Source organism: Homo sapiens, chromosome 8 (genome assembly GCF_000001405.40).
Source record: "Homo sapiens chromosome 8, GRCh38.p14 Primary Assembly".
Taxonomy (NCBI): Eukaryota; Metazoa; Chordata; class Mammalia; order Primates; family Hominidae; genus Homo; species Homo sapiens.
The window spans coordinates 12496394-12515391 of record NC_000008.11 but is presented as its reverse complement, the minus strand read 5'-3'; the positions used below and the strand labels follow the sequence as shown (position 1 = coordinate 12515391).

Genomic DNA, 18998 nt, shown 5'->3' with positions numbered 1-18998 from the left:
CCGTTCAAAAGAAGGGAAGTGTCAGAGATGGCTCTCCCAGACTCGCGTATTTTTCAGTAGAATCTGGGTCAGGATGTTGTGGTCGGGAGATGCTTCTGGATCTCTGGGACCCACAAGCCTGCGTGTCATGGTGGAGTATTAGGACAACTTGAAAACATAGTGGCAGGAGGAGGCTTCCTCTCTCCCCTGCAGTTCATCCTCCAGCACACCCAATGTGCTCAACAGATATTGGTTAAATGAATAATGGGGCCGGGCATGGTGGCTCACGCCTGTAATCCCAGCACTTTGGGAGGCTGAGGCAGGTGGATCACCTGAGGTCAGGAGTTCAAGACCAGCCTGGCCATAGAGGCAGGAGAAGCACTTGAACCTGGAAGGCGGAGTTTACAGCACGCTGAGATGGCACCACTGCACTCCAGCCTGGGTGACAGAGCAAGACTCAAAAAAAAAAAAAAAATGGATTTATTCCTTCCAAACTGAAACTCACCAAAAGAAGACCAACACGCATGACAATGTTGTGGCCATAATCACCACAGTGACAATAATAAATATAATCAACTCTCGAGCCAGCCACCTCCACTAAACCTAGTGGATCACATCTAGTGTTTCACTTTGGGGATATTTTAGTGGTCATCGTAGATTGTCGCCTGACTGCTGGCTGTTTCTACCATGTTTCAGGAATATAGAGATGTGTACAGATGGCCCCTAAAATTAATTAGTATGCAATTCTCAAAGAGCCAAACTGTACCCCAAAAGCTACTGGAATGAAAAAAAAAAAGTTTTAATTCTCAAAGAGACAAACTAGATAGTAGAAGCATTTATGTTCCCTTGGAGAATCTTCCCACCAAGGACTCAAAGTTGTCTCCAGACCAGGGAATGCCTGGGGCCTTGGACTTTCCCAATTCTGGTATCACCTCCCATTCTCCTTTAGGTCCAGCTTTCTCAGAGGGGCATGCATTGTTCATTGCCACCAAGGGTATCCAAGGACAGAAACTGAAGATAATAGTGCCTTATTGTCTCTCAGTCATCTTTCTCTCCCACATGCTGGAAAGAGAGCCAAGTCCAATTTATCCAATTACAAAATAGCAACATTGGCATCATGAGATCAGCTAACAAAACTTTCAGAGGCAATCTATCTTCCTACCAAAAGTAACAAACATCTGTGGAGCACTGACCATGACTAAGGGTCAACATAAGTGGTTTGCATGCTACATGCATCAGGATGGACTAGGTTATGCTGCAGTAACAAATTAACCCCAGAGTCTCAGCAGCTTAGCAACCAAGGTTGATTTCTTACATTCCATGTCCACAATGGGTTGGCTGGGTATGGTGTGCTCCATATGGCCACTCAAAGACCTAGAATGATGGAAATTCTACCATCTTAATGCAAGGATTCTCCCCTAGTTACTGCACCAGGAGATGAGAGAATGAGATAGTTATTTCCAAGCCCTCAAAAGCTGTAGACTAGAGGTGATGTCAGTGACTTCCACTTATAGAGCATTGGACCCTGGCATGGATCCATCTAACTACGGGGGTCTGGGGAATACAGGGAGCAGATGGAAATCCCATGAGCAGTAACCATTCCTGCCAGCATGCATTATTTCATCTGAACCTCACAACCCTATGGAATATATAACAGAGGCTTGGAGAGTTATGGGACCTGCCCCAAGGCATCATAGATAATGAGTTGCAGAGCTGAGATATGACCTTCGGCCTCCTCACCCACCTCCTCACCCACCCCCACCCCCACCGAAAGAATCAAACTACGCAAATAACTGGAATGAAATTCTCAGGCAATTTCAGCAGGGGAAATGGGGTTATCTCATCTGGGTCTCACATCCGACCTCGTCAAGACAAGACCTTCCCTACACTTCACCTGAACACCTGGACACACTGTCATGTCTTGCCAGTTCTTGTTACTGGAGATCCAATGATGATGTCTTTATACAATTTATAGGTCTTTCTATAAGTGTCAAGATAAATGTCATCTCTGTACCTGCCTATCTTTCAGAGGTAGGCAAGCTTCTATGTAAAGTGCTAGATAGTAAATATTATAAACTTTTCAGGACTCATCTGATCTCCATCCTATATATTTTTTTGTTTTTATTTTTGTTTTACAAATTTTTTTTTTCTTTTTAGATAGGGTCTAAAAAGAAAATAAAACTTATCCATGTTGTGATATGGATGAACGTTAGGGTTAGTGAAAGAAGCAGACATGAAAGGTCATATATTGTAGAATTCCATTTATATGCAATGTTCAGACTAAGCCAATCGACAGAGATAGAAAGTAGATGAGAGGTTTCCAACGGCTGCAGGAGGGAGTATGCAGAGTGACTGCTGAATGGATATGAGGCTTCCAACTGAGGTGTTGAAAAAGCCCTGAAACTAGGTAGTGGTGATAATTGCACAACATGATAGATGTACAAAATGTCCCTGAATTGTACACTTTCAGATGCACAAAATGATAAATGTTGCATATATTATGCCACAATTTTATTCATTTATTTTAGAGATAGAGTCTCACTCCGTCACCCAGGCTGCAGTGCAATGTCACAGTCATAGCTCACTGCTGCCTTTACCGCCTGGACTCAAGCAAGCCTCCCACCTAGTCTTCCAAGTAGCTGGGACTACAGGTGAACGCTACCACACCCAGCTTTTTAAATTTTTTTATAGAGTTGCATTCTCAGTATATTGCCCAGATTGGCCCAAACTCCTGGCTTCAAGTGATTCTCTCATCTCAGCCTCCCAAAGTGCTGGGATAACAGATGTAAGACATCAGACCAGGCAATTTTCAATTCTTATGCAAAATTTTCAACTAATTCCTAGGATTGAAAAAAATGTCGATCAACATGGGGATTAGAGGAAAAAATAATTTTAAACAAGAGAAAAAATTAAATGAGATGATGTACATGTATACAGTGCCTGGCCTCATGATCAATGACTCCACTGCAGCTTTTTATTTCTTTTTCCATACAGGGTCTCACTCTGTCACCCAGGCTGAGTACAGTGGCATAATCATGGCTTACTACAGCCTCAACCTCCTGGGCACAAGTGATCCTCCCACCTCAGCCTCTCAAGTAGCTGGGACTACAGATGCACACAATCACACCTAGCTATTTGTGTTGTTGTTGTTATATTTTTTGGTAGTGGCAGGGTCTCACCATGTTGCCCAGGCTGGCATCTCGAACTCCTGGGCTCAAGCGATCCTCCCACCTCAGCTTCCCAAAGTGCTGGGATTACAGGTGTGAGCCACCATGCCCATCCTGTTGTAGCTATTTTAATAGTGCTGGTGAACAATAATTTGCTCTCCCTATAAAAACAGAACATACTAAGCCAAGGAAAGCACCAATCTAGTTTGTTCTCCCCAGATCTTCAAAGTGTTGGAATTAGTATAAGAGTCCAAAATATTTCATGTGGTTTGATTTTTTTTTTTTTTTTTTTTTTTTTTTTTTGGAGATGCAGTCTCGTTCCATCGTCCAGGTTGGAAGGCAGTGGAGCAATCTCAGCTCACTGCAACCTCCGCCTCCCGGGTTCAAGCAATTCTCCTGCCTCAGCCTCCCGAGTAGCTGGGATTACAGACATGTACCGCCACGCCTGGCTAATTTTTGCATTTTTAGTAGAGATGGGGTTTCTCCATGTTGGCCAGGCTGGTCTTGAACTCCTGACCTCAAATGATCTACCCGCCTTGGCCTCCCAAAGTGCTGGGATTACAGGTGTAAGCCACCATGCCCGGCCAGCTTGATTTTTTACTGTGGTAAAATACATACAAAATCTATTATTTTAGCCATTTTCAAAGGAAAAATTCAGTGGTATTAAGTGCATCCCCCACATTGTACAGCCATGTCCCCCATCCATCTCCAGAACGCTTTCATACTGTCCTGCAAATATGCAGCACCTTGCTACACTCCAGGTTGTTTGTCCCACAACAGAGCTGGGCTGAATTACTAATGCGGACTTTGTTTAACAACGGACTAAAGAGGGAGAAGCCCATGAACTCTGTGAGGAGTGCATGACAGGTGCTTGTGGGATGACATGACTCGGCGCCCTCCAGCTGCTGCTGCCACCGCCTGTCCTGCTGGGCGGCCACCCCCTCGCAGGGAAGAAGAGCACTCACAACTGCTGCTGATCTCCTTCCAGGGCTTCCGCTGGGACTAGGATCAGGATGTGAACACCCCCAACCTGGACCATCTGGCCAGGGAGGGCGTCAAGGCCAAGTACCTCATGCCGCCCCTTGTGACAATGACCTCCCCGTCCCACTTCACTGCCATCACAGGTAAGCGCCACTCTGCCCATTTCACCCGATGCCCATCAAATCCCCAGCGTCCGTCATTCCCTGTGATAAGAAGCAAAAGCTCGGTCAGCTCTAGGGAGGTTGAGGTTGCTCCGGGGTCTCACTCTGTTGCCCAGGCTGTAGCTCAGTGGCATAATCACAGCTCAGTGGAGCCTCAAGCTCCTGGTCTCAAGCAGTCCTCCCTAGCTCAGTCTCCTCAGTAGCTGGGGATACAGACAAGCCACCATGCCTGATTTTCTCATTTTCTTAGAAACTGGGGCAGGGGGTGTCTCACTATGTTGCCTGGGCTGGTTTTGAACTCCTGGCCTCAAGTGATCATCCCACCTCAGCCTCCCAAAGTGCTGAGATTGGAGACATGAGCTACCGTGACTGGCCTGTTCTTTTTTTTTAAAGTAAATAAGGCCGAGCATGGTGACTCACCCCTGTAATCCCAGCACTTTTGGTGGCTGAGGTGGGTGGATCACCTGAGGTCAGGAGTTCAAGACCAGCTTGCCCAACATGGTGAAACGTCACCTATCCTAAAAATACAAAAATAAGCTGGGCGTGGTGGCAGATGCCTATAACCACAGCTACTCTGGAGTCTGATACAGGAGAATCACTTGAACCCAGGAGGTGGTAGTTGAAGTGAGCCGAGATCATGCCATTGCATTCCAGTTTGGGCAAAAGAGCAAGATTTTGTCTCAAAAAAAAAACAAAAGTAATAAAAATAAAAAGGTAAATAACTAAAATCACTTTTAAATAATTGTATAAAAATAATAAAACACTGACATTTACAGAGCTCAGTTAGATGAGGTGACTCATACCTTCCAATGGTGTCTTGGTTCTCTTACATAAGAATTCAAATGTCTTTCTGTGGCCCAAAAGATCCCACACAGCCTGGCCCCTGGCCTATCTTCTGCCAGCCTCTCTCATCTCTCTCCCTCTCCTTCACTTCCTTCCGGATCACAAAGGCCTTTGCCTGTGCCTTCTGCCCTGCTCCCTCAAGCCCCAGGGCCTTGGCCTGTGCTAGTCCAGTCCCTCCAGCTCACCAGGAGCATACAGTCCAGTCGGGGAGACAGACACCAGACACCCAAACAGGCACATACATCCTGTAACAACTCAGGAGGCATCAAGGAGGAAAACGAGTTTTCCAGGCACAGACTACAGGCGTAAACTGGTTTCAAACTAGAGAGGGAGAAAGGGGGTCTCTGAGCATGGGGCAGTTGAGCTGAAAGAGATCTCAGGGGACCAGAGGAAGGAAAAGTGTTCCAGGCGAGGGAAGAGCATGTGTGAGGTCTCTGAGACAAAGACCTGGTCATTTCAGAATCCCAATGGCCACTAAAATAGAGGGATTCCAACCTAAAAAGGAGGAAGAGGAGGCTGCTGGAAAGCAAAGGACTCTGTGTAAGAATCATAATAGCAGGAGTGGAGCCAAGATGGCCGAATAGGAACAGCTCCAGTCTACAATTCCTGGCGTGAGCGACCCAGAAGACAGGTGATTTCTGCATTTCCAACTGAGGTACTTGGTTCATCTCACTGGAGAGTGTCAGAAAGTGGGTGCAGGACACTTGGTGCAGTGCACCGAGCATGAGCCAAGCAGGACAAGGCATTGCCTCACCTGGGAAGTGCAAGGGGTCAGAGAATTCCCTTCCCTAGTCAAAGAAACGGGTGACAGATGGCACCTGGAAAATCGGGTCACTCACACCCTAATACTGCACTTTTCCAATGGTCTTAGCAAACGGCACACCAGGAGATTATATCCCATGCCTGGCTCAGAGGGTCCTAAACCCATGGAGCCTCACTCATTGCTAGCACAGCAGTATGAGATCAAACTGCAAGGTGGCAGCAAGGCTGGGGGAGGGGCGCCCGCCATTGCCTAGGCTTCAGTAGGTAAACAAAGCAGCTGGGAAGCTCCAACTGGGTGGAGCCCACCTCAGCTCAAGGAGGCCTGCCTGCCTCTGTAGACTCCACCTCTGGGGGCAGGGCATTGGCAAACAAAAGGCAGCAGAATCCTCTGCAGACTTAAATATCCCTGTCTGACAGCTTTGAAGAGAGAAGTGGTTCTCCCAGCACACAGCTGGAGATCTGAGAATGGACAGATTGCCTCCTCAAGTGGGTCCCTGACCCCCGAGTTGCCTAACTGGAGGCACACCCCCGTAGGGGCAGACTGACACCTCACATGGCCGGGTACTCCTCTGAGACAAAACTTCCAGAGGAACAATCAGGCAGCAACATTTGCTGCTCAACAATATCTGCTGTTCTGCAGCCTCAACTGCTGACACCCAGGCAAACTCCAACAGACCTGCAGCTGAGGGTCCTGACTCTTAGAAGGAAAACTAACAAACAGAAAAGACATCCACACTTAAAACCCCATCTGTACGTCACCATCATCAAAGACCAAAGGTAGATAAAGCCACAAAGATGGGGAAAAAACAGACACACACAGGCTCAAATAAAGGGATGGAGGAAGATCTACCAAGCAAATGGAAAACAAAAAAAAGGCAGGTGTTGCAATCCTAGTCTCTGATAAAACAGACTTTAAACCAACAAAGATCAAAAGAGACAAAGAAGGCCATTACATAATGGTAAAGGGATCAATTCAACAAGAAGAGCTAACTATCCTAAATATATATGCACCCAATACATGAGCACTCAGATTCAAAAAGCAAGTCCTTAGAGACCTACAAAGAGACTTAGACTCCCACACAATAATAATAGGAGGCTTTAACACCCCACTGTCAACATTAGACAGATCAACAAGACAGAAAGTTAACAAGTATATTCAGGAATTGAACTCAGCTCTGCACCAAGCGGAACTAATAGACATCTACAGAACTCTCCACCCCAAATCAACAGAATATACAGTCTTCTCAGCACCACATCGCACTTCTTCCAAAATTGACCACATAGTTGGAAGTGAAGCACTCTTCAGCAAATGTAAAACAACAGAAATTATAACAAACTGTCTCTCAGACCACAGTGCAATCAAACTAGAACTCAGGATTAAGAAACTCTCTCAAAACTACTCAACTACATGAAAACTGAACAACCTGCTCCTGAATGACTACTGGGTACATAATGAAATGAAGGCAGAAATAAAGGTGTTCTTTGAAACCAACGAGAACAAAGACACAACATACCAGAATCTCTCGGACACATTCAAAGCAGTGTGTAGAGGGAAATTTATAGCACTAAATGCCCACAAGAGAAAACAGGAAATATCTAAAATTGACACCCTAACATCACAATTAAAAGAACTAGAGAAGCAAAGAGCAAACACATTCAAAAGCTAGCAGAAGGCAAGAAATAACTAAGATCAGAGCAGAACTGAAGGAAATAGAGACACAAAAAACCCTTCAAAAAATCCATGAATCCAGGAGCTGGTTTTTTGAAAAGATCAACAAAATTGATAGACCACTAGCAAGACTAATAAAGAAAAGAGAGAAGAATCCAATAGACACAATAAAAATTGATAAAGGGGATATCACCACCAATCCCACAAAAATACAAACTACCATCAGAGGATAGTATAAACACCTCTATGCAAATAAACTAGAAAACCTAGAAGAAATGGATAAATTCCTCGACACGTACACCCTCCCAAGGCTAAACCAGGAAGAAGTTGAATCTCTGAATAGACCAATAACAGGTTCTGAAATTGAGGCAATAATTAATAGCTTACCAACCAAAAAAAGTCCATGACCAGACGGAATCACAGACGAATTCCACCAGAGGTAAAAGGAGGAGCTGGTACCATTCCTTCTGAAACTATTCCAAACAATAGAAAAAGAGGGAATCCTACCTAACTCATTTTATGAGGCCAGCATCATCTTGATACCAAAGCCGGGCAGAGACACAACCAAAAAAGAGAATTTTAGACCAATATCCCTGATGAACATCGATGCAAAAATCCTCTATAAAATACTGGCAAACCGAATCCAGCAGCACATCAAAAACTTATCCACCATGATCAAGTGGGCTTCCTCCCTGGGATGCAAGATTGGTTCAACATTTGCAAATCAGTAAACATAATCCAGCATATAAACAGAACCAATGACAAAAACCATATGATTATCTCATTACATGCAGAAAAGGCCTGTGACAAAATTCAACAACCTTCATGCTGAAAACTCTCAATAAATTAAGTATTGATGGGACGTATCTCAAAATAATAAGAGCTATCTATGACAAACCCACAGCCAATATCATACTGAATGGGCAAAAACTGGAAGCATTCCCTTTGAAAACTGGCACAAGACAGGGATGCCCTCTCTCACCACTCCTATTCAACATAGTGTTGGAAGTTCTGGCCAGGGCAATCAGGGAGGAGAAGGAAATAAAGGGTATTCAATTAAGAAAAGAGGAAGTCAAATTGTCTCTGTTTGCAGATGACATGATTGTATATCAAGAAAACCCCACTGTCTCAGCCCAAAATCTCCTTAAGCTGATAGGCAACTTCAGCAAAGTCTCAGGATACAAAATCAATTTGCAAAAATCACAAGCATTCTTATAAACCAATACAGACAAACAGAGAGCCAAATCATGAGTGAACTCCCATTCACAATTGCTTCAAAGAGAATAAAATACCTAGGAATCCAACTTACAAGGGATATGAAGGACCTCTTCAAGGAGAACTATAAACCACTGCTCAACGAAATAAAAGAGGACACAAACAAATGGAAGAACATTCCATGCTCATGAGTAGGAAGAATCAATATCGTAAAAATGGCCATATTGGCCAAGGTAATTTATAGATTCAATGCCATCCCCATCAAGTTACCAATGACTTTCTTCACAGAATTGGAAAAAACTACTTTAAAGTTCATATGGAACCAAAAAAGAGCCAGCATTGCCAAGTCAATCCTAAGCCAAAAGAACAAAGCTAGAGGCATCACACTACCTGACTTCAAACTATACTACAAGGCTACAGTAATCAAAACAGCCTGGTACTGGTACAAAAACAGAGATATAGACCAATGGAACAGAACAGAGCCCTCAGGAATAATGCCACATATCTACAACCATCTGATCTTTGACAAACCTGACAAAAACATGAAACGGGGAAAGGATTCCCTACTTAATAAATGGTGCTGGGAAAACTGGCTAGCCATATGAAGAAAGATGAAACTGGATCCCTTCCTTACACCTTAGACAAAAATTAATTCAAGATGGATTAGACTTAAATGTTAGACCTAAAACCATAAAAACCCTAGAAGAAAACCTCAGCAATATCATTCAGGACATAGGCATGGGCAAGGAATTCATGTCTAAAACACCAAAAGCAATGGCAAGAAAAGCCAAAATTAACAAATGGGATCTAATTAAACTAAAGAGCTTCTGCACAGCAAAAGAAACTACCATCAGAGTGAACAGGCAACCTACAGAATGGGAGAAAATTTTTGCAATCTACTCATCTGACAAAGGGCTAATATCAAGAATCTACAATGAGCTCCAATAAATTTACAAGAAAAAAACAAACAACCCATCAAAAAGTGGGCAAAGGATATGAACAGACACTTCTCAAAAGAAGACATTTATGTAGCCAAAAGACACGTGAAAAAAATGCTCATCATCCCTGGCCAGAGAAATGCAAGTCAAAACAACAATGTGATACCATCTCACCCCAGTTAGAATGGCGATCATTAACAAGTCAGGAAACAACAGGTGCTGGAGAGGATGTGGAGAAATAGGAACACTTTTACGCTGTTGGTGGGACTGTAAACTAGTTCACCCATTGTGAAATTCAGTGTGGCAATTCCTCAGGGATCTAGAACTAGAAATACCATTTGACCCAGCCATCCCATTACTGGGTATATACCCAAAGGATTATAAATCATGCTGCTATAAAGACACATGCACACGTATGTTTATAGTGGCACTATTCACAATAGCAAAGACTTGGAACCAAGCCAAATGTCCAACAATGATAGACAGGATTAAGAAAATATGGCACATATACACCATGGAATACTATGCAGCCATAAACAATGATTTCATGTCCTTTGTAGGGACATGGATGAAGCTGGAAACCATCATTCTCTGCAAACTATTGCAAGGACAAAAAACCAAACACCGCATGTTCTCACTCATAGGTAGGAATTAAACAATGAGAACACATGGACACAGGAAGGGGAACATCACACACTGGGACCTGTTGTGGGGGCGGGGGAGGCGGGAGGGATAGCATTAAGAGACATACCTAATGTTAAATGACGAGTTAATGGGTACAGCACACCAACATGGCACATGTATACATATGTAACAAACCTGCACGTTGTGCACATGTACCCTAAAACTTAAAGTATAATACAAAATAAAAAATAAGATAAAAGCTTCGGCTGTTGACTCCCAATATCCTGCTTCATCATCTCTCTACTCCAGAAACTTTTCACATGCTTACAAAGGGTGTTCGTTTCTCCTCTAAGTATTTGCTCCCCAGCCCCACCTGCAAGAAGGTGGAAGTAGGGCCTCTGCCTGGGATGGTAACTCTCAAATATAAGGCAAGACCTGTCTCTCCACCAGTATCCCCAGGACTGAAGGACTGTGAAAGTCTGCATATTGATCAAGCTTCTCCCTCCCTTATCTGAAGGGACTTACTTCCTTCAAGACACTTTTCCTCTTCCCACCTAGCTCCATGCCCCCATCCAGTCATCTTCCAACCCATCTCTCCCAACCTGCATGCCACACAAGAGGGGCGTGACCACAGCACCTGGAAGCTCATTAAAACTGAATGGTGTGTCAGGCCAGGTGCGGTGGCTCATGTCAGCAACCCCAGCACTTTGGGAGGCTGAGGCAGGCAGGTCACTTGAGGTCAGGAGTTCGAGACCAGCCTGGCCAAAATGGAGAAACTCCATCTCTACTAAAAATATAAAAATTAGCTGGGTTTGGTTGTGCTTGCCTGTAGTCCTAGCTACTTGGGGGGCTGAGGAAAGGGAATCACTTGAACCTGGGAGGCAGAGCTTACAGTGAGCCAAGATTGCGCCATTGCACTCAAGCCTGGGCGATAGAGTGAGACTCTGTCTCAAAAAAAAAAAAGAAAAAAGAAAAAAAAGAAATCGAATGGTGTGATTAGCTTATGATTTTTTAAAAATGGAATGATGTATTCATTTTCTAAGCTGCATAACAAATCAACACAAATTTAGCAGCTTAAAACATCCATCTATTACCTCTCCTTTCCTGTGGGTCAGGAGTCTGGGGGTGCAGTTTAGCTGGGCCCTCTGCTTAGGTACTTACAAGGTTGTGATCAAGGTGTTGGCTGGAATTAGTGTCTCATATGAGGCTTGGGGTCTTCTCCCAACCTCACATGGTTGTTGGCAGAATTTATTTCCATGCAACTGTGGAACTCATGTGGCTTGCTTCTTCAAAACCAGCTAGGCATGGTGGCTCACGCCTGTAATCCCAGCACTTTCGGAGGCCGAGGCATGTGGATCACCTGATGTCAGGAGTTCGAGACCAGCCTGGCCAATATGGTGAAACCCCATCTCTACTAAAAATACAAAACTTAGCCGGTCATGATTGTGCACGCCTGTAATCCCAGCTACTTGGGAGGCTGAGGCAGGAGAATCACTTGAACCCAGGAGACAGAGGTTGCAGTAAGCCGAGATCGTGCCACTGCACTCCAGCCTGGGCAACAGAGTGAGACTCCATGTCAAAAACAAACAAACAAACAAAAACCAAAAACCAGGAGGAAGGAGTCTCTCTCCTCCAGACCCTCATTGAAGATCTCACCTGAAGATGTCAGGCCCACCCTGAATAATCTCTCTTTTGATTAACTCAAAGTGAATGGATTAGGGGCTTAGTTACATCTGCAAAATCCCTTCAACTTTTCCATAGGTATAGATTAGAAGCAAGCCACGGGTCCTGCCTACACTCCAGGGGAGAGGAGATTACACCTGGCATTTATCCAGGGCAAGAACCTAAGGGGTCATCTCAGAATTCTGCCTTCCAAATAGATCCTCGGTGGAGCTCACGAGCCTGGGCGAGCACCAGCCTTTGTTTAAAGGCAACAGAGAATGATGCCCTGGCTCAGATCTCCAGCAAGCCTCCAGAATGATGGTCCAGTCTCTGAACCCTGGGCCAAGGCAGCAGGAGGTTTGGGTGCACATGGGAGCTTCCCCCACTTTGAAGTGAGTCGTCACATCTGTATTAGACCCTAGCTGTTGCTTAGGCAAAAATGATGATTTAGAAGAAGATGGAGAGAAGAGGAGAGTTAATTTAAAAGTACTTGTATTCGGCCGGACGTGGTGGTTCACGCCTGTAATCCCAGCACTTTGGGAGGCTGAGGCAGGCGGATCACGAGGTCAGGAGATGGAGACCATCCTGGCTAACACGGCGAAACCTTGTCTCGATTAAAAATACAAAAAATTAGCTGGGCGTGGTGGCGGGTGCCTGTAGTCCCAGCTACTCAGGAGGCTGAGGCAGGAGAATGGCGTGAACCCAGGAGGCGGAGATTGCAGTGAGCCGAGATCGCGCCACTGCACTCCAGCCTGGGCAACAGAGCGAGACTCCGTCTCAAAAAAAGAAAAAAAAAAGAAAGTACTTATGTTCATTCCCTAGGGCTGCCACAACCAAGTACCAAAAGCTGCGTGACTTGAAACCAGAGAAACTGATTGTCTTGTGGCTCTGGTGGCCAGCAGTCTGAAATGGAAGTGCCAGCAGGGCCACGCTCCCTCCTGCACTTGTCGGGGAGTCCTGCCTTGCCTCTTCCTACCTTCCTGTGGTCTCCTGGCAGTCTTCAGTGTTTCTTGGTTTGCATACGCATCAGTCCAATCTTCCGGCCAATCCATGGACGCCTTCCCTGTGTCTCTGTGACTCGGCGTGTCCTCTCGTCTTTTATAAGGACACCAGTCGTTGACTTAGGGCCCTCCCTACTCCAAGATGACTTCATCCTAATCAATAGCGTCTGCAATAACCCTATTTCTTTCTTTTCTTTCTTTCTTTCTTTCTTCCTTTCTTTTTTCTTTATTTCTTTCTTTCTTTTTTTTCTTCTTTCTCTCTCTCTCTCTCTCTCTCTCTCTTTCTTTCTTTCTTTCTTTTGAGACGGAGTTTCACTCTTTTTGCCCAGGCTGGAGTGCAATAGCACGATTTCAGCTCAATGCAACCTCCGCCTCGTGGGTTCAGGCGATTGTCCTGCCTCAGCCTCCCTAGTAGCTGGGATTACAGGTATGTGCCACCACACCCAGCTAATTTTGAATTTTTAGTAGAGACGGAGTTTCTCCATGTTGGTCAGGCTGGTCTCAAACTCCTGACCTCAGGTGATCCGCCTGCCTCGACCTCCCAAAGTGCTGGGATTATAGGCATGAGCCACCACGCCCGGCCCGCAATAACTCTATTTCTAAATAAGGTCACATTCTGAGCTACTAGAATTTAGGATTTCAACATGTTTTGAGGAGGACTCAATTTAACCCATAAGAATACTATGTGGGCCACACATGCTGCTTCACATCTGTTATCCCAGCACTTTCGGAGTTTGAAGCAGGAGGATCATTGCTCAGGGCATAGGGGACACCAGGTGCATAAGACCACAGCGTTGACTGGTGTGGGGGCTCACACCTGTAAGTTTGGGAAGCTAAGGCAGGACGATCACTTGAGCCCAGGAGTTTGAGGCCAGCCTGGGTGACATAGTGAGATCTCATTTCTAAAGAAAAAAATAATAATAATAATTAGCTGGGCATGGGGGTAGCAGCCTACAGTCCCAGCTACTCAGGAGGCTGAAGCAGGAGGGTCGCTTGAGTCCAGAAGATCAAGGCTGTGGCGAGCTGTGATTGCACCACTGCACTCCAGCCTGGGCAATAGAGCAAGCCCTGTCTCAAAAAAAAAAAAAAAAAAAAAAAAGTCATCTCCTTTGTCTTCTGATTCCGTGAGCTCTCATAGAAAGGAAGTGAAGCAGTGAAAGCATCCCCCCAAAAGGGAGTTTTCAAAACCAGCCTAAGCAACATAGCAAGACCTTGCCTTTAGAAAGTATTTAAATTTGAAGGAAAAAAAAAAGCAGTACTATAGCACAGAGGTGACAGCTACAGGTGTGGCTACATCCAGGTCCTAAAATTATATCATCAGAATGACCCCTCACCCTCCCCCCGCTTTCCATTTTACTTTCTTAAGCATGAACATGAAATTTCCAAGATTGTCTCTCCTTTGGCTAATCTGCTTCTCAGACCCAATCACTGTGGCCAGGGTGGTGGAAGGACACTGGCATCCAGGCTGGGACCACATGCCCCAGCTCCAGATCAGGGTGGGGAATGGCCAGTGGCACACATGCCGTTGGGGACTAGTGACTCCTCAGCGGAAAATCAGGAACTATCATTGGAGAGGAGCGATAGAAGAAAGGCTGACACAGTGCAATGTGTCTCCTGCACCAGCCTGGGCCTTGATGTCTTGAGTACTGATGACACAGTACTCAGTCCAGGGCAATCCCAACTCCATCTATGGGGCTGCCCACAGTACATGGACCGCCTCACTGGATTTGCTGACCACATGTGCAAACAGCCACCTCCCAGCCCCACTCCCCGCAGTCCCCCTGAACCCTGTCAAAATTCCCCTCAGTTCTCACCAAGACTAAAAGCAATTCTGAGGGTGAGCGGCTCATTCTGCTAGTTTAACTCTCTCGATTCCTTCCCTCTCCAGAACTCTGTACTTACTGCTCCGTCACTGGTAATGACAATGAACATCTTCACAATCTCAGGTTTTATTGCAAAGTGATTGAGGACCAGTTAGAATAAGTTATGCTGCAGAAACTAAAGAAATCCCGTCAAGCAAATTGTGTGTCATAGAAAGTCTTAGGACAGCCGTGTATATTTTCTCCCCCAATGAATCAATTGAAAATGAGAAGCTCTTACCGCCATGTTCCGGGCAGAAGCTATCAAAAGTATAAGCCATGATATTATAATTTGATGATTTTTCATGCGTCAAATGGTTATGGCCCAGGGGTGAAAAGTGGATGCTCCGTAACTAGATGATGGTCAAGAGTTATAAAAATGAGGTCCTCTCTGTTCAACATTTCTCCTTTCTTGAAAGGATACTCAATATCATGCTCAGGGCCTCTAATGGCCAGAAATAAAGTTCCTCCCAGTTCCAGAGCACCCCAGGATAACCCCAAAACCAGAGCAACTGCTTATTTCCATATAGACTATATACTGTGCAACTCCCGGGGTGGCATTTTCATAAATATGTGGGTGGCGCCCCCTGGAGGTAAGCAATGCACAACTTGCACAAATGGTAAGACACCGTATCCCAAAGTCCACAAAGAAGAGCTAAGCAAAACTCCCATCGATGTTGCCATCGGTAATGAGTCTGCCTTTTCTTCATGGGACAGTAGCAAAAACAATTTGGCCAAGTGTGCTTGGATGATCTCTAAGATGGAATCAGGGTCTCTCACTTTCAGCACTATTGACATTTGGGGCTGGATCATTCTTTTGTCTTAGTGGGAGTTGTCCGGGGCATTGTAGGATGCTTAGCAGCATCGCTGGCCTCTACCCATTAGCTGCCAGTAGCACCACCTCCTCCAGCCGCAACCACCAAAATTGTCTCCAGACATGGCCACGTGTTCTCTGGGGGGCAAAATCACCCCCTGGCTGAAAAGCCCTGAAGTAAAGACATAATATGCAGATCACATGTAAGTAAGGGAGCCTAAGGGCCACACAGGTGATGCTGTACCCATGACAAAGACAGAGTCTTAAAGAGGTTAGAGAGGCGGAGAAAGAGAAAGGAAATGAAGTCCCAGTTGCCTAGAGCAACAGATGCTGACTAGATGTTGTTGATAGTCATCTTTAAACTGAGTTAAAAGATGCTGAGAAGCCATCAGCTCCCATCCTGCTCTCCAGGGACAACGCTGCTGAAAAAAGGCCTGGAGATCAACAAAGCCCCAAACACAGGTGCACTGAGCAAAGAAACCAGAGATTGAGACAAAATGACATTCCCTCAAAGACTACACATTTCCAAGAGGAGAGAAAAAGTGGAGTCATGAAAAACAGTTGAGGCTGGATAGAGTGACTCACACCTGTAATCCCAGCACTTTGGGATTACTCCCAGTCTGAGACGGGAAGACTGCTTGAACTCAGGAGTTCAAGACCAGCCTGGGCAACGTAGCAAGACCTTGCCTCTAGAAAAAGGGAAAAAATTAGCCAGGTGTGGTAATACATGCCTGTGGTCTCAGCTACTCGGGAGGCTGAGGTGGGAGGATCACTTGAACCCAGGAGGTAGAGGCTGCAGTGAGCCGGGATCGCACCACTGCACTCCAGCCTGGGCTACAGATCCTGTCCCAAAAAAGAAAAAAAATAAACCAAATTAAGGCCAGGCACGATGGCTCATGGCTGTAATCCCAGCACTTTGGGAGGCCGAGGTGGGCAGATCACGAGTTCAGGAGATTGAGACCATCCTGGCTAACACGGTGAAACCCCATCTCTATTAAAAATACAAACAATTAGCCGGACATGGTGCTGGGTGCCTATAGTCCCAGCTACTCTGGAGGCTGAGGCAGAAGAATGGAGTGAACTCGGGAGGTGGAGCTTGAAGTGAGCCAAGATCACGCCACTACACTCCAGCCTAGGCAAAAGAGCAAGACTCTATCTCAAAAAAAAAAGAAAAGAAAATTAAAAATTTTTTTGAGACCAAGTCTCACTCTGTCACCCAGGCTGGAGTGATCTCCAGCTCACTGGATCTCCGCTCACTGCAACCTCCGCCTCCTTGGTTCAAGTGATTCTCAGTTCTCAACCTCGTACCTCAACATGACTACAGGCATGTTTTCACCATGCCTAATTTTTGCATTTTTAGTAGAGATGGGATTTCACCATGTTGTCCAGGATGGTCTTGAACTCCTAGGTTAAAGCAATCTACCCACCTCAGCCTCCCAAAATGCTGAGATTACAGGCATGAGCCACCGTGCCTGACCTCTAACTTTTCATTATGGAAATTTCCCATATGCACAAAAATCAAGGAGAGAATTACACCATGAACCCCCATGCACCCATCATCCCACTGCAAGAACTTGTCAACATTTCGCCAATCTCATTCCAGTTCCCACTTTTCTTTTCCTTCTTGCTATTTTAGGATATTTTAAAGCAAATTCCAGACATTTCATTTCACCCACATCCATAACACACCAGGGTGCATTCTTGATGTAAGGATTTTGTTTTGTTTTATAACCCCCCATGCCATTGCCACAGTTAATAGATTTAACATGAAGAAACTAAGATTCTTGCAGGTGGAGAAAAGATCTAATTACCACCTTAAAGCCTCACCTACTAGCGCTTCTCAGATCTGAACGTGTATGCAAATCACCTGGGCATCTTGTTAAAATGTAGATTCTGGCCCAGCAGGTCCTTCCGGGTGAGCCCTGAGAGTCTTCAATACCAAAAGCTCCCAGGTGACGCAATGCTGCGGGTCCATGAATCACACAAGAGGAAGTGTCGTGTCGGCCAAACACCCACAACAACTGGGTGTGAAGTCCTGACCGTTCCTGACTGCAGGGCCTTCAGTGAACGGGGCAGCTGGGGACCATTTGGGAAAGAAGGGAGGTTTTTCCTATCAGCTCCAGGCCTTGTAGAACTGCCAGGGAATAACAGACACAAGGTCAGCAAAGTCTAACCAACAGCACGAGTGCATTCATATTCCACAACCACTGCAGCAAAGAACCATGAAATGGGTGGCTTCAAACAATGTCTGTGCCGGGTGCCGTGGCTCACACCTAAGTAATCTCAGGACTTTGGGAGGCTGAGTTGGGTGAATCACTTGAGGCCAGGAATTCGAGACCAGCCTGGCCAATATGCCAAAACCTCGTCTCTACTAAAAATACAAAAATTAGCCATGCATGGTGGCAGGCACCTGTAGTCCCCACTTCTTGGGAGGCTGAGGCAAGAGAATGGCTTGAGCCTGGGAGGTGGAGGTTGCAGTGAACTGAGATCATGCCACTGCACTCCAGACTGGGCAACAGAGCAAGCCTCTGTCTGAAAAAAAAAAAAGAAAAAAAAAAAAATTAATTGTCTGGAGGCCAGAAGTCCAAAATCAATCAAATGTCAGCAGGAGAATGCTCCTTCAGAGGTTCTAGGGGAGAATCCATTCCTTGCGTCTTCCAGCTTGTAGAGGCTACTAGAATTCCTCAACTTGTGGCTGCATGATCCAATCTCTGCCTCTGTGATCACCTTGCCTCCTCCTCTTCTGTCTGGGTCTCCTCCTCTGGAGGAAGAGTGTCAGTCCTCTGAGCCCAAGCTAAGCCATCATTATCTCCTGTGACCTGCATGTACATATCCAGATGGCCGGTTCCTGCCTTAACTGATGACATTATCTTGTGAAATTCCTTCTCCTTGCTCATCCTGGCTCCAAAGCTCCCCTACTGAGCACCTTGTGGCCCCCACTCCTGCCTGCCAGAGAACAACCCCCCTTTTTCCTTTACCTACCCAAATCCTATAAAATTGCCCCACCCCTATCTCCCTTCACTGACTCTCTTTTTGGACTCAGCCCACCTGTACCCAGGTGAAATAAACAGCTTTACTGCTCACACAAAGCCTGTTTGGTGGTCTCTTCACATGGATGCATGTGAAATTTGGTGCCGTGACTGGGATCGAGGGACTTCCCTTGGGAGATCAATCCCCTGTCCTCCTGCTCTTTGCTCTGTGAGAAAGATCCACCTATGACTTCAGGTTCTCAGACTGACCAGCCCAAGAAACATCTCACCAATTTCAAATCTGGTAAGCGGCTTCTTTTTACTCTCTTCTCCAACCTCCCTCACTATCCCTCC

General features: G+C 45.6%; 1 long non-coding RNA gene and 1 pseudogene across 2 annotated transcripts in view, besides 4 other annotated features; one reads left to right on the top strand and one right to left on the bottom strand.

The window, feature by feature from the left end:
• The window catches only part of FAM86B2-DT (FAM86B2 divergent transcript), a 129833-nt gene that overhangs the window by 51454 nt on the left and 59381 nt on the right, over positions 1-18998 (bottom strand). The window contains exon 5 of one of the 2 annotated variants that reach the window (NR_040091.1): positions 17543-17809. The exons of the other annotated variant lie outside the window; for it this stretch is intronic. This is a non-coding gene — a long non-coding RNA (FAM86B2 divergent transcript). The remainder of the gene's footprint in view (positions 1-17542; positions 17810-18998) is intronic. 2 annotated transcript variants of the gene reach the window in all.
• Positions 3667-4166: an enhancer, noted in NCBI's record as "H3K4me1 hESC enhancer chr8:12368735-12369234 (GRCh37/hg19 assembly coordinates)". NCBI's record gives its function as "activates a minimal SCP1, AML or CMV promoter by ChIP-STARR-seq in naive H9 embryonic stem cells {active_cell/tissue: H9 hESC(naive)}" and the evidence as "EXISTENCE:reporter gene assay evidence [ECO:0000049][PMID:30033119]".
• The window catches only part of ENPP7P6 (ectonucleotide pyrophosphatase/phosphodiesterase 7 pseudogene 6), a 63266-nt pseudogene continuing 48381 nt past the window's right edge, over positions 4114-18998 (top strand).
• Positions 13637-14138: an enhancer, noted in NCBI's record as "H3K27ac hESC enhancer chr8:12358763-12359264 (GRCh37/hg19 assembly coordinates)". NCBI's record gives its function as "activates a minimal SCP1, AML or CMV promoter by ChIP-STARR-seq in naive H9 embryonic stem cells {active_cell/tissue: H9 hESC(naive)}" and the evidence as "EXISTENCE:reporter gene assay evidence [ECO:0000049][PMID:30033119]".
• Positions 16615-17474: an enhancer, noted in NCBI's record as "OCT4-NANOG-H3K27ac-H3K4me1 hESC enhancer chr8:12355427-12356286 (GRCh37/hg19 assembly coordinates)". NCBI's record gives its function as "activates a minimal SCP1, AML or CMV promoter by ChIP-STARR-seq in primed H9 embryonic stem cells {active_cell/tissue: H9 hESC(primed)}" and the evidence as "EXISTENCE:reporter gene assay evidence [ECO:0000049][PMID:30033119]".
• Positions 17475-18334: an enhancer, noted in NCBI's record as "OCT4-NANOG-H3K27ac-H3K4me1 hESC enhancer chr8:12354567-12355426 (GRCh37/hg19 assembly coordinates)". NCBI's record gives its function as "activates a minimal SCP1, AML or CMV promoter by ChIP-STARR-seq in primed H9 embryonic stem cells {active_cell/tissue: H9 hESC(primed)}" and the evidence as "EXISTENCE:reporter gene assay evidence [ECO:0000049][PMID:30033119]".